General features: G+C 34.1%; 1 long non-coding RNA gene across 1 annotated transcript in view, besides 1 other annotated feature; it reads right to left on the bottom strand.

Annotated features, from left to right (window-relative positions):
* Window positions 1-15428, bottom strand: part of LOC105378336 (uncharacterized) — an 88286-nt gene that overhangs the window by 16965 nt on the left and 55893 nt on the right. Inside the window, exon 3 of the long non-coding RNA XR_946020.2 lies at window positions 2366-2577. This is a non-coding gene — a long non-coding RNA (uncharacterized LOC105378336). The remainder of the gene's footprint in view (window positions 1-2365; window positions 2578-15428) is intronic.
* Window positions 3872-4041: an enhancer, noted in NCBI's record as "experimental_14356 CRE fragment used in MPRA reporter constructs". NCBI's record gives its function as "activates a minimal promoter by MPRAs in K562 erythroleukemia cells, with activity observed for the non-introgressed 10:66642076 variant allele {active_cell/tissue: K562}" and the evidence as "EXISTENCE:reporter gene assay evidence [ECO:0000049][PMID:34662402]".

Here is a 15428-nt window from a genome sequence, read left to right as displayed (position 1 = left end):
CAAAAAGGCATAAGAATGATATAATGGGCTTTGGGGACTCACGAGGATGGGTGAGAGGGGCTTGACAGATAAAAGTCTACACATTAAGTACATTGTACGCTGCTCAGGTGACAGGTGCACCAAAATCTCAGAAATCACCACTGAAGAACTTTTCCATGCAACCAAACACTACCTGTTCCCCAGAAACTATTGAAATTTTAAAAAGGTAAGAGTGTCCATGAGTTTAAGGTGATGTCCAATTCATCGCAGTGTAACTGCATGCTCTACGCATCTGTATGGCATGAATCTATGACATCACAGAGCATTTTCTTTAGCCAATTTTGAACATCAATCCAGTCCTTCCCCTTGAAAGTCTATTTGTTTAAATGAACTCTTTTGAAATGTTACAATTTGAAATTTCATTACAAATTGTTTGGATTGTAGGCAAAATTTAGAAAACTCTGTATATGTCTATTAAATCTTTGAAAAATTGGAAATTTAGACATCTTTTCAGCATTAAACTGTCACCAAAAATTAAAAGTGCATTAAATTTAAAAAAATTTCTCCAAAGCAGAACATGTACAAAGTACATTATTGAAGAAACAAAACAAGAATATAAAACAATGAGATCCTGTCATTTGCAACAATATGCCTGAAACTGGAGGTCACTATGTTAAGTGAAATAAGCCAGGCACAGAAAGACAAACTTTACGTATTCTCACTTATTTGTGAGAGCTGAAAATTAAAACATTTGAATGCTTGGAGATAGAAAGTGGAAGGATGGTTACCAGAGGCTGAGAAGGGTAGTAGGGAGTGGGAGTCAGGGGTGGGGAGTGGAGAATATTAATAGGTACAAAAATATAGTTAGATAGAATTCATAAGATCTAGTATTTGATAGCACAACAAGATGACTACAGTAAGTAATAAATTATTGTGCATTTTAAAATAACCAAAATAGCATATTTTGGTTACTTGTAAAACAAAGAGAGGATAAATCCTTAATGAGATAGATGATGGATATACCATTTACCCTAATGTGATTATTACACATTATATGCCTATATCAAAATATCTTATGTACCACATAAATATATACACCTATTATATACCCACAAAAATTAAAAATTAAAAATTTTATAAAAAGACTATAATATTTTAAGATCTTAAGACTTTTATTACACTTTATATATAGTACTGAAAATAACAAGAAGTATAATTTTTGTAACATTACTGTGTTAATATTTATTGAGTAACTTATATTTATCAAATACAGGATGTATACCAGGATGTTATTATTAAGCTGTTATTCTATAATGATAGAAGTTACTTTGGGTAATTTGACCAAGGCTCAATAACCGATTAATGACAGATTCAAACCTAGGTGTAGCTATTAAGTACAGATGACTGTGCATATTGTAACAGCTTTTCTATATAATTTTATGGAATTTATTCTCTACTGTATCTACTACTTTCTCTCTAGATTTATTATCTGTCAGTCAAAAAGAAATGCTTCTTTTATAATGTAAGAAGGAGGTTCATTTTCATTAACAATTATTTCTTACAATTGTAAAGTGATTTTTGAAAAAATGTCTTTATGCCTTTTGAATTAATTTTGAAAATTACATGAATAATATAGTCATTGTTTCTTATAGCTAGGAATATATTTGCTTGTTTTTTCTTATCATTACAGTAAAATAAGTAAACAAATGTTTTATACGTTAAAAATACATTTTCATGACTGAGAACCGTCTTATTATTTTAAGATATCTTTCAAAAAGTATTAATAGAAATAGCAAATAATTTTGAACAAGTTATCACTTTGCTTTCTTTGTTATTGCCATATTTATGTAACAATCAACTATGTAGAAAGTATCATTTTCCTATCTACAAAAGACAATACTGAAACACAAATGGGTTAAGTTAAATAACCTGCCTATTTTATTCCAAAGCTAAAGTGTGAAATAGCTGTAATTTAAACCCCAGGGTCCCTAACTCTAAATTCTGCATTATTGAACATGCTACTGTGCTTGTTAATTAATAAGTGGTACAAAGATTTGTGCAAGTAGAAAAAACAAATCTACTCAAATAAGCCTTCAACATCAGATGAATAAAGATCATGTGCACAAACTCTGTTGAGTTTCAATACTTAGCTATCAATTAAGGCAACTACTCATCATACTAAAGAAAGGACAAAGGAATAAAATTAAATATGATTTGTCTCAGCATATAATCTACTCAGGTGGACTAAATACTCAATATTTAAGTTATTTTTGAAGGAAAAACACATTAAGAAAAAATCTACATATTACAAATGTATAACTCTTGCCAACTGTGTCTTTGAAATTAGCAAATGCCTGGACGGGAAAGGCAGCAGAAAATATCTTACCTGGCTTTCCTTCGTGTGAACGTGCTTTTTCTTCTCTCTCTGATGTTAAAACCCGATGTCTTTCCTGCCTTGGTTGCTCCCTAATGCCTTCAACTAGCTGTTTTGTTAAATTATTATTTTACCTGGCTTTTATAGTTTTCATTAGTGGAAGTGTTGTTCTGCAGCCATAGAAGCTTCTGGTTGATGTTTTATGAATTGCACGTAAACATGATCTAAATTTAAAATAGGAGATCAAATTAATTCATAACGTGGTAGAATTATGCCAATTAATTATACAGAAGCAAAACAAAATGTTAGCGTAATAACATGTAGTTTGGTTTGTTACATGGGAAAATGTTAAATGTCCACGGTCCAATTTAAATAGTTTGAACATACATTCAAATGTAAGCAACTTAGTACAGTAAATTAAAGGAATTTTATGATAACTAAGCAGTGCTCCTGTACATACAAATGGCACAAAGAATTTACATAATTTGGGAAAAGAATAAAAGATAAAGAATATTTATTTGTTTATTTTATTTATTTATTTATTTATTTTGAGACGGAGTCTCGCTCTGTCGCCAGGCTGGAGTGCAACGGTGCGATCTCGGCTCACTGAATCCTCTGCCTCCCAGGTTCAAGTGATTCTCCTGCCTCAGCCTCCCGAGTAGCTGGGACTGCAAGCGCATGCCACCACGAATGGCTAATTTTTGTATTTTTAGTAGAGACGGGGTTTCACCATGTTGGCCAGGATGGGCTCCATCTCTTGACCTTGTGATGTGCCCGCCTCAGCCTCCCAAAGTGCTGGGATTACAGGCGTGAGCCACCATGCCTGGCCAAGAATACTCTAATGTGTAACAAACAAGGGGACAACCCAACAAGTGAATAGTTGAGTTGGTTTTGTAAAACTCATCTAAGTGCATGAAATCTGAAATGTTTAACTAATAGAACTTTTAGAAAATAATGTGCTGACACCATATAACAGAAATTATCATGGCCCATATTCTACATTATATAAATATATTTAAGTGAGAAAAGTAAGCAGATATAATGGCAAAACTCTTTATGGAAAACTGGAAAATAGGAATCTATATATATAGTGATCATCTGGGAGATCCCTCCAATAATGACTGTAATATACTTACAAATAATCTACAAGAGATTCAAATAAAAGATGAAGTATAATTGGTAACTATTGTCGAATAACAGGATAAAGTTTTCTTTTTTAGAGAGAGTATTCTAAATCTGCTAACATTTCAATTTTTTTCTTGTAAAATGTTTATTTCTATTTTTGTTTTTTAAATTTCAGCTTATTTTAGATTCAGTAAGTACATGTACAGGTTTGTTATAAGGATATATTGCATGATACTGAGATTCAGGGTATGATTGAACCCATCACCAAGGAGTGTGCAGGACACCCAATAGGTAGTTTTTCAGTCCTTGCTTCCTCCCTCCCTCCCTCTCCCATCTTGTAGTCCCCAGTGATATTGCTCCCATCTTTGTGCCCACGTGTACCCAATGTTTAGCTCCCACTTACAAGTGAGATCATGCAGTATTTGATCTTCTGTTCCCGTGTTAATTCGCTTAGGATGGTGGCCTCCAGCTGCATCCATGTTGCTGGAAAGGACACAATTTTGCTAATTTTTCTGGCTAGTATTCCATGGTGTATATGTAACGCATTTTCTTAATTCAACCCACTGTTGATGGATGCCTAGGTTGATTCCACATCTTCGTCATTGTGAATAGTGCTGTGATGAACATAAAAGTGCATGTGTCCTTTTGGTAGGATGTTTGTTTTCCTTGGGTATATACCAAGTAATAGAACGACTGGGTCCAATGGTAGTTCTATTTTAGTTATTTGAGAAATCTTCAAACTGTTCTTCACTGTGGCTGAAATAATTTACATTCTCACTAACAGCATATAGTGTTCCCTTTTCACTACATCCTCGCTAACATCTGTTATTTTTTTTATCTTTTAATAATAGCCATTCTGACTGGTGTAAGATGCTATCTTACTGTGGTTTTGATTTGCATTTCTCTGATGATTAGTGATGTTGAGGATTTTTTCACATTTGTTGGCAGTTTAACATTTCTAATTATAAAATGTCCCAGAAAATTAATTAGAAAAGAAGAGAAAACCATGCTAAAATCCATAAGATGTTAAAACTTTCTGAACAAAAAAATGAATAATTTTAATAAAATATATACTTTACTGACACTGAAAACATAATAATGATTACAAAAAGAAAAATAATTTAGTGTTGTCATTCTGCTTCTAATGACAAACAAAGCTGATTTTTAATCAACACAAAATGTTGTTGCTTCTCAATGAATAGGGAGTGTAATATGGACAGAATTACATTTAGTGAGCATATTGCAAACCACAAAATCTTGAAGTATACAGTAATTAAATAAGTGAGGTAAACTACATACAACAGAAAGATGGTCCAAGAAGATTACATAAGTTGCAGTCTATGCAACAGATGGCCCATATGCTTGATGGAATTACCTAAAGGCAGAAATTGTGATTTAATTAACACTGAAGAGTGCTGTTGAAATTTGGTTTACCAAATGTGCAAACAACAATAAATATGCACATTAGGAAAAATTATGCAAGCAATAACAATAATGTCTAATGAATAATTATTAGATATTTTATAGCAAAAACACAAATTTGTGACTTTAGAGGATATACAAAAAATATGTAAACTTTAAATTTCTGAACTCAATAAGTCAAAACAAAAAAATAAAGAAGTTACTTCTAAATGTTCCCACCTTTAGATGGCAAGCAAATAGAGTTAAGTTGGATTTTTTAAAAATTGTATTTGCGAGAAAACATGATCAAGTACAATTAAGATACAAATGATGATCTTTGACGTTTATACTATATGTTAATACAAATATAACCAGAACACCTTAATGAGCTCTAATCAATGAAGTTACACCAATGCTAGCATTCCAAAGTTCTTACTTTTGTTTTCATCATTGACCACACAATTTTTTGTTTACTGCAGTGCAATCCACTCTTCTCATAAGTCCTCCAAGGGACCCATCTCTGTTCATAGACATATTTGCTAGTGTAATCACCAAGTAGCTCCTTCCACATTCTGCTTTTTCTTGAGCCAGATAAAGCTTTCTCATGTTTCACTGATCATGATGCCCTCTGTATGGCCCACAGGTGGCATGCCCCAAATAGCTCCTCCAGCTTCCAACGGACATTGAGATTCTTCACCAGTGCTGAGCTACATGCAAAACTGAAGAGGGAGTTCTTTCCTCAGTCGGGGCTGCCCTTTGCGTATAGACTCCAAAGCATCATTTGTCACAAAAATTCCACTCATCTTTTATGAAAAATCTCCTTTATCTTCTATAAAATGAATCTAGTGAAGAATTAACTCAGCCATATGCATTAGTAAGAATTGGCAGGAAAAAAATACAATATATTTCTTGAAGTGAAAATAAAATAACACAAAAATATTCTGAGGGCAGATTTGTAGAGAGTTCTTCAGCCAAGAAACTAATTGCTTTATCAACCTGAGCATTATTCCCCTCAGAGCCTTAATGTTCTCAAAATTTTTTTCTTCCTAATCAAAACACCATGAAATAACACATTTAGTCTTTTTTTCCCAAACTGTACATTAATCTACTTGTTGTTTCTAATAACATTTTTCCAGATTCTATCATTTCATCACAAAAATTCATTCTAAATTATAATGAAAACTCTTGCTCAAGTTACTCTTCTAGTGTAAGACTATTTCTCCTTTATATTTTATATCAAGAGGATCTCATTTTTCCTGCAAGAATTTGATATCTTCTAGTCAAACTTTTGTTTTGTAAACAACTTTCCCCTAGTCCCCCCCCATGTACTTTAGATGAAGGTGACCCCATTCAGCACCAGTGAGTCACATCACTTGAATTTAACCAAAGGTGCATTCCATTTTCCTCTTTCAGGCATTCAAGAATGACTCCAGAGAATGAATGAGACTCAATCACAGCATTTATTGGAAGTACATAAAATGAGAATCTCCCTTTGTACTAGAACCACTGACTATAAAATTTAGGGATGTCAGGGGATACTATGTTTGGGGAGTTGCTGTGTGACAGTGAAACAAACCTAAAGAAAGCACAGACAAGAGATGGAAAAAAAATTGGCCAAATCTTTGCAGCGTTGTATGATCTTGAACACATGGCTATGCCTTGAATCAAACATATCCCTGAGTTTTCAGTTTATATGATCAAATGCATTCTTTTATTTGTATAAGCTGATCTGAGTTGAATTTATCTTATATGCTACTAGAATAAAGTCTGATTATTAAATCTAGTTGTATAAATCACTTTACTCTCCCAGTGCAATAACCTCTGTTTTATAAAGGTGAAAAAATCAAATATTCCGTGTTAGCCATTTAATGAAAATATCATTAAAATGCTATAAATGTGTTGTTTGGTCAAACTATATTATGATAAATAGTCCTGAAGATCTCTGTTCTATTTAGCAACTATGTATGTGTATGTGTGTTTGTGTGTGTGCGTAGTTACTAAATAGATCATAAATCTGATTATATATCTGTGAGTATATACATATAGTTACTAAATAGATCAGTAACTATATATGTGTGTGTATATACGCAGTTACTAAATATATATATTTATACACACAGAGAGATACACATATATGTATATATATGTATATATACACACAGAGAGAGATTGATCAACATCAAGAACAAACAGAAATATATAGCTATACAGGCATTTTTTTTTCATGAAAATATGTTATGGCTTTTAGGCATATGCATAGGAAAGAGCAGTCTGTGAAATCAATCACCTGAAGTATATACTGAAATTAAACTGAGATGCTCTAAGTGAGAATTATAATCAAAACTGGAAATTATCAGTGTGAATTTAAGATGTTATGGTTGTTAAATGAAATAATTCAACAAAACCTGTTAATCCTGTAAAATACTAGTGCAATTTTTATTTTGCTCACCACAGCCTGTGATCATCAAACATGGAAAGAGCAAAATGAATTTTCTCAATGTAAGAAAACACAGTAGAATTTCCTTATCTTGGAAAAATCCTGTAAATGAATGCATCTTGTACAGGTATGGAGTTTTTTTGGCTTCATTGTCAGCCACAGCTTTTCAAAATAGTGCTTTCACTCACGCAGATTCTTCTAGGGACAAGTATTTAGAATACTACCCTGACTTTTTGGACCACTTAGAAGATCAGAGCAGACATTTACTAAATGATATAATCTTCAAAGGGAATTGAAGTAAGTCAGGCCCTAGGATAGCTGAGAGAGCATTTGGTTTGTTACGCATCTATTTATTGTCTCTGTGACTTCCCAGGCAGCCCAGAGAACAGTTTCCTAGTCAGTCTGAAAATTGCCTTAATTCAGCTGTCAATACAAACTAAACTTGTTGGGCCCTAAAGGCTGCATGTGCAGGCTTCTTTCTGACTCCATGGAAATGCCAGAGAAGCTGACATGGAGGTAAGTCAATCGTTATTGTTCAGGAATCGCAATACTAATTCTATTCTAACACCCCATGGAAGAAGTACCAAAGATGCTGAACATCCTACATATTACAAATAAAATTCCAATTCTACTCATGTGAATATTTAAAGGGAAACAATTATTATTACATAATCAGAATGTTATCTTTCCAACTGCAGAAGACGTCTGTAAATCCATAACTTGTCAATCCGAAGAAAACAACTAAAGCCACTGAGACCTGGATAGCACATTGGTCCATCAGGCAATTCTAGAACACAATTGAGTCAGCAATATAACTTTTTGTTGTTGTTGTTGAGACAGAGTCTTCCTCTGTTGCCCAGACTGGAGTACAGTGGTGCAATCTCGGCTCACTGCAACCTCCAACTCCCAGATTCAAGTAATTCTCATGCCTCAGCCTCCCGAGTAGCTGGGATTACAGGTGTGCACCACTACACCTGGCTGATTTTTTTTTTCATATTTTTAGTAGAGACAGGGTTTTGTCATGCTGTTCAGGCTGGTCTCAAACCCCTGACCTCAGGTGATACACCAGTGTTGGTCTCTCAAAATGCTGGGATTACAGGCATGAGCCACTGCAGCCAGCCAAAACTTTTTTTATTATCAAACATGTCTTAATGTCCATCTTCCCATTCACTATTTCAATAATTTGAACATCATTTTCATTAAATGCAGTTACTCCACTCTTCAAGTGAGACCCGCAGACACTGAAGAATGGAAAGTCAAAACGCCTTACCATAACATTGAAAATCTAAGCATTAAAAATCTATTATGGTGTGGCCTCAAGTTTTTATCAGTTTTATCTAATGTTGCACAAAAATTAAAACAAAGGCCCCTATTTGCATGATATTATACTTACTTGCCTAGTCAGGAATAAAAAACAAAAAACTTTGTTTTAAATATATGTCCACAGTATCTTATGTGGAGTTTTTTTTTTTCTTTCCTAAAATACATTTGCCTCAATTATCAAACAGTTCTGTAACCACCATTTAGGTTATAGTTCTTTTTAGAAGAAACCCTTCAGCTAAATCGTAGATGACAATTTTTTTAAGTTCTTCTCAGCATTGGAGAACATTTTTTTCCTGGAGTTTTTTTCAAAAATGAAACTAACTTGTGACACAGAAATTACTGTTCTGTCAACTAAATCTAAAAAGTAATAGTGAGTGTTCAGGTGTTATGGATAAAACATTGTATCAATTCAACTCTAATCATATCACTAATAGGCAATGGTTTCCTTTCTGAAAAGTGATATGAGAATCTGCTCCCAATTTGCTGTTCATTATTTAGGGAATACATGATTCACAGTTGATTGACAGCATGACAATGATAAAGTAGCTTATGGAATTTTGATACATTTGTGTCAATTTTTGAACACTCTGGAAATAAACAAAACCATCCAAATAAGAAAATCAACCATCCTCACTTGCATTTAGCTAAAATTCAAAGATAGAGAGGGACATGGGAAAGTTTTATAGTGAATAAGAGAGAAGGTTTTTACATATGCTCTGATTGGAGGTTATTGGCATAAGGAGGCTGGAGGTGGGCTAACTAGAAGTGGGGACTCAGGTGATTGGTTAGGGGAGCATATTTGGCTTTCTTGGATCTGTCCTTATTTAGAAATCAGGTTAAAAAAAATAGAGAAGCTGGCAGTTACTGATTAAGTCCTCCCCATTCTGGGCCAATTGCTGCAAAGATTGTGGCTTGCTCTCGTGGGCTAGTTGCTGTAGAAGTTCTGTTCTGGCCTCCCAGACTAGTTGCTACAGAGGCTACAGGTCAGAGTTCTACTGTTATATATGGTCTGGCCATTGCCCATTTGTATATTCAGTTGCTCAACATTTACTGAATCGTAGAATATGTATATCAATTGAAGTAAACTTTTTTTAATTTGAAACATAATAAATAGTGTTTACGTTCTTAGTTTTCTTGAAGCGCACACACACACACACACACGAGAACACATTTTCCTCAGCACTTTATGTCTAAATCACTTTAATTCTTACAACAATGTTATGGTGTACAATTATACTAATTTTACAGACTTACAGCTAAATCACAATGGAAGCCATACTCAGATCCCTCTGATGAATCTTTAGAGTAAAATTTGACACTGACTCCTTTTAACTTTTATACAGGCCATTTTTGAAAAATTGATGTCCTCAAATTAATATTCTCCCCTTTTATCTTCTTTAAAGTTGATATTTAAAAAGATTTAAATAATTTTATGCATAGGCAACAACATGCAAAGTCTAGACTTCTGTGACTCCCAAGGGGAGTTCAGAATAATGCTGGTATTGGCCATCAATATGATCATAGACTAGTGATATTTGGAAAAATAGGGATCTATTTACTAAAAAATGCCAAAATAAAATATTGTGAAATAATAAAAATTGTGTTATTGTTCTCACTTCTCCAAATTTCTCACAGTGGATGTGTGCTATATGTATGTATGATCAGAATGAAAATGATATGCGATATAGAAATAAAGTATATTTTATTTGTTTTACATATTCATTTTCATCTCTATTATGGCTGAAATCAATGTGATTTGTAATATGCATGGAAAAAGACTCTTGTCACTGAAATAGAAAACATCTGGCAATAGCAAGTAAAAACAAGCCCTTTTAAGCATCTAAAAATGATTTGTTTGCACAGAGGGGAGAAGTGGAAAATACCCACTAAAATATTCTTGTATTGTCAAGGGAGCATTACAATAATCCTTCACTGTTCCCCAAATGAGTTTTCTTTTTTGGGTAACTTTGAATGTACTATTCTGTGGGATGTAGTAAGGGAAAAGAGGAAGGATGACAGGTAATGGAGACCTAGAGAATAAAACAATTATTCAAGGACTTCAACATTTAAGATACTAGACTATGCAAAAAATACTTTTGCTACACAACAATGAGAATGAGACAAAAATGCCATGAAAATTATGTGATACAGTATTCCTTTCTTCCTTTCTTCTCTCCTTTCTTCTTTTTTTTTCTTCCTTACCTATTATGTATCAAGCACCGTTCTAGCCACTTGTGTAAGATTTGGGAGCAAAGTGCATAAAATATTCTGTCTTCATACACTTTACATTCGAGTTACTAAAATCTTGGCTTCAGACCTGATTCAGCATCTTCGGCCTCCTAACTTTATTAATTAATACTTTTATGATTTTGGCAAAGTTTTTTTTAAATTTTTTAAACCTCAATTTCCTCACCTACAAAATGTACATAATAACATTAGCCATTTGTAGATACAATATAAATATATATTTTTAAATGTTAGCATTAAAAGATTCTTTGTTTTCTTGCAGGCCATGGGCCCAGGATGCTTAATCACTGCTTATATTTCCTTTCTCACTTAAAATTACAAAAACAATAAAAAATATTTATGCAAAATTAAAGACATCTTGTCCAAATTATGTTGGACAAATTATTCATTTTTTCATAGCAAGTTGACTTTGTTGCAACAGGCAAGCACATCTAAACCCATGGTTTTGTTTTTCATTAATTCATTCTTTGGCACGTTTTATGAGTATCAGCTCACACGGGATTGGATTAAAGAAAAAAAAGAAAACGTCTTTTACCATAGATGGTGAAAGATGAGCCTTGACATAGTGAGTCAGTGCACAGTTCTCAAAGTGATATTTGATTTTTTTAACATCATGTCTTTCAGTATGTCTGTTCACATTCTGAGCAAACTCATCAATGGCACCAAATTACTAAGAACATAATGAAAGGATGCTAACTGATGCTGCTTCAAACACAAGATGGAGAAACTTCGTGTGAGCAGTCTTTGGGTTGTTACTAGTGAATCACAGAAACTCAAGCCCTAATTGGGTCATCTCTCTGGTTAACCAGGGACATTGTGCATTCCAGAGGATAACTGATAATGTTGGGATACATTTTTCATTGTCACAGCTGGAGGGGTATACTACTGACTCTTTGAAGACAGAGGCCAAGGATGCTGCAAGACATTCTACAATGCACAAAACTACCCATCTCTCCACCATGCCAACAAAGAATTATCCAGCCCAAATCATCACTAGTACTGACATTGAGAAACCCTGTTGTAGAACAATGTGACAATAGGGAAAGAGAAAATGCAAGAATACAGCCTGTTGCCTGGCAAGAATTATGCCATCTTGAAGCAAAACTGCCATGATGACCAATGTTTGACTCCTGCATACCAAAGTGTTCTGCAGCAAAGTCTTAAAACAATGCCCACAGCATAAATAACTCCTCACAAAGATGCATATCTAACATTCCCAGTGGTCACAAGTTTTGGCAAAAAAGCCTGAGACGTGACCAACCAGCTGCACGTGTTTTACCCTAAAACCTTGCTATGTAAAAGGTATTTTCTGGAGAGCTGGTGCAGGGATCCACCATCTTGCAGCCACCTGAGACATCACTTCTTTTTGTAAGTCTCTAGTAAGTAGTTTCAGAGAAACTGGATTTGTCAGCCTCTTTCTTTGGACTTTCAGCTCCCTTGACCCTTGGGTGTTTTTTGTTTGTTTTGTTTTTTTGCATGTATTATAGCCGCTCGCCGCAGAACAGAATCAGTGGCAACCCTGGTGAATAATCCAAGCTGAATAGAGTATTCATTTAACAGCATTGAGTGTGACAATTTCCCCATCTGTTTATTTTCACTCATTCAGCCATGATTTTATTTAGCAAATATTCCTGACTAATGTAGGTACTGTACTGAGCCTTGGTGACACAGCAGTAAGTAAAAAAGACAAATTTATATAGCTCTCTATTACTTTATGTGATTGGCCAAAAATAAATAACTGTATTTACTTGTCATTATTTTGAACTGGATGTGCCTGTGAAATTAGGTAATTATACAAACAGTTCTTTCTAACCATTGGGTCACAGAAAAGGAAACAAGTATCCGATGGCATAGTAAAACTAGGATAACTAAAGATCCTCCACAATTCAGATGATATTTTCTCCTAATACATATTTTTCTCTAGTTAATATTTGGTTGTAGAAAGAGATGTGATAATAAAGAGTCAGTAAAACAGACCGAGTAAAGTTAGATTAATCATCATCAGTCACAGAGGAAACTCTGAAAAAAATATTGATAAAGAAGCAGAAGAGAGAAATTATCTAATGTTTGCTTATTTTCTTTACTTTCCACATTGCTTCTGAGTCACTTCCACGTATAAATAAAGCAGGAAGCTGCAAGAACATAATCATCAGTGACATGCTGTTAAAAAAACAATCATGATCAAAATTTTCAAAAAAGTACAAAAGAGACCAAAATGCAAGCACTATAATTGTCAATGTACCTTGGTTATTAACTCTGATGAATTCAGCAAATGTCCGATACACTTACAAGACTATTTTTTAATCCCTCAAAAATAAGCAATTGAATTAATATGACATATTTATTTTCTTCCAAGAATCCTCAAAAAAGGTTTTTTTCTTAATTTTTATTTTTATATATTCAGGTGGTACATGTGCAGTTTTGTTACATGAATATATTGCACAGTGGTGAAGTTGGGATTTTGGTGTGCCCATCACCTGAATAATGAACATTTTACCCAACAGGTAATTTTTCAACTCTCATCCCTCTACCTTACCCCCTTTATGAGTCCCCAGTATCTACTATTCCCCTCTGTATGTTCATGTGTACCCACTGCTTAGCTCCCACTTGGGAGTGAGAACATCCAGCAGTCAATTTTCCGAGTTATTTTACATAAAATAATGTCCTTCATTTCCATCCATGTTACTGAAAAAGCATGATTTCATTCTTTTTTAGGTTGTGTAGTATTCCATGGTATATATATATACTACATTTTCTTTATCCAGTCATCCACTGATAGACAGTTAGGTTCATTCTCTAACTTTGCTATTGTTAAGAGTGCTGAAATAAACATATAAGTGCAGGTATCTTTTTAATATAATGATTTCTTTTCCTTTAGATAGACATCCAGTAGTGGGATTTCTGTATGGAAAGATAATTTTATTTTTAGTGCTTTAAGAAGTCACACTGTTTTCCACAGAGGATATACTAATTTACATTCCCACCAACAGTGTATAAGCATTCCCTTTCCTTCACTTCCTTGCCAATATCTGTTTGTTTTTTGTTTTTTGACTATTTTTATAGTAGCCATCCTGACTGGTGTGAGATGGTATCTAAATGTGGTTTTAATTTTAATTTCTCTGATGATTAATGACTTTGAACATTTTTTCCTACGTTTGTTAGCACTTGTATGCATTCTTTTGGGAAATGTCTGCTCATACATATCCTCTTCCCACTTTTTTTTTTTGAGGTGGAGTCTTCCTCTGTTGCCCAGGCTAGAGTGCAGTGGCATGATCTTGGCTCACTCCAACCTCCACCTCCTGGGTTCAAGTGATTCTCCTGCCTCTACCTCCCGAGTAGCTGGGATTACAGGTGCCCACCACCATGCCTGGCTAATTTTTGTGTTTTTACTTGAGATGGGGTTTCACCATGTTGGCCAAGCTGGTCTTGAACTCCTGACCTCAAGTCATCTGCCCACCTCGGCCTCCCAAAGTGCTCGGATTACAGGCGTAAGCCACCAAGCTCGGCCTTCTTCCCACTTTTTAATGGGGTTATCAGGGTTTTTCTTAATGAGTTGCTTGATTTTCTTGTAGGTTTTGGATATTAGTCCTTTGTTGGATTCATAGTTTGAAAATATTTTCTCCCAATTTGTAGGTTGTGGATTTACTCTGCTGATTATTTCTTTAGCTGTACAGAAGCTTTTTGGTTTAATTAAGTCTCATTTGTGTATTTTTGGTTTTGTTGCATTTGCTTTTGAGACCTTAGTCATAAATTCTTGGCCTATGCCAATGTTCAGAAGAGTTTTTCCTAGGTTTTCCTGTAGGTTTTTTATTTTTTCAGGTCTTACAGTTAAGTCTTTAATCCACCTTAATTGCTCTATATGGTGAGAGATAGGGGTCCGGTTTCATTCTTCTGCATACGGCTAGCCAATTTTGTCAGCAGCATTTACTGAATAGGGTGTCCTTTCTCCATTGTATATTTTTGTTGACTGTGTCAAAGATTAGTTGGTTGTAGATATGTGGCTTTATTTCTGTAGGTATGTGGCTTTATTGTCACAGTGTTCCATTGATCTATGTGCCTATTTTTGTACTAGTATCATGTTGTTTTTGTTACTATAGAGTTGTAGTATAATTGAAAGTCAGATAATGTGATGCCTCTAGATTTTTTCTTTTTGCTTAAGATTTCGTTAGCTATTTGAGCTCTTTTTCAGTTCCATGTGAAATTTAGTTTTTTTTTCTAATTCTGTGATAAATGGCAATGATAATTTGATAAAAAGTGCATCAAATCTGTACATTTCTTTGAGCAACATGGTCATTTTAATGGTGTCTATTCCAATACACAAGCGTAGGATTTTTTAAATTAGTTTGTGTCATCTATGATTTCTTTCACCAGTGTTTTGTTGTTCTGCTTGAAGAGATCTTTCATGTCTTTCATTAAATGTATTCATAGGTATTTTATTTTTTGTGATTTTTATGTCTTTTTTATGTAGGGATTTGATGCTATAAACTTTCCTCTTAGCACTGCTTTTGCTGTAACGAATAGGTTTTGGTATGTTGTGCAGCT

The sequence above is a fragment of the Homo sapiens genome, chromosome 10, assembly GCF_000001405.40.
Source record: "Homo sapiens chromosome 10, GRCh38.p14 Primary Assembly".
Classification (NCBI taxonomy): domain Eukaryota; kingdom Metazoa; phylum Chordata; class Mammalia; order Primates; family Hominidae; genus Homo; species Homo sapiens.
This window is presented reverse-complemented; position numbering and strand designations above follow the sequence as displayed.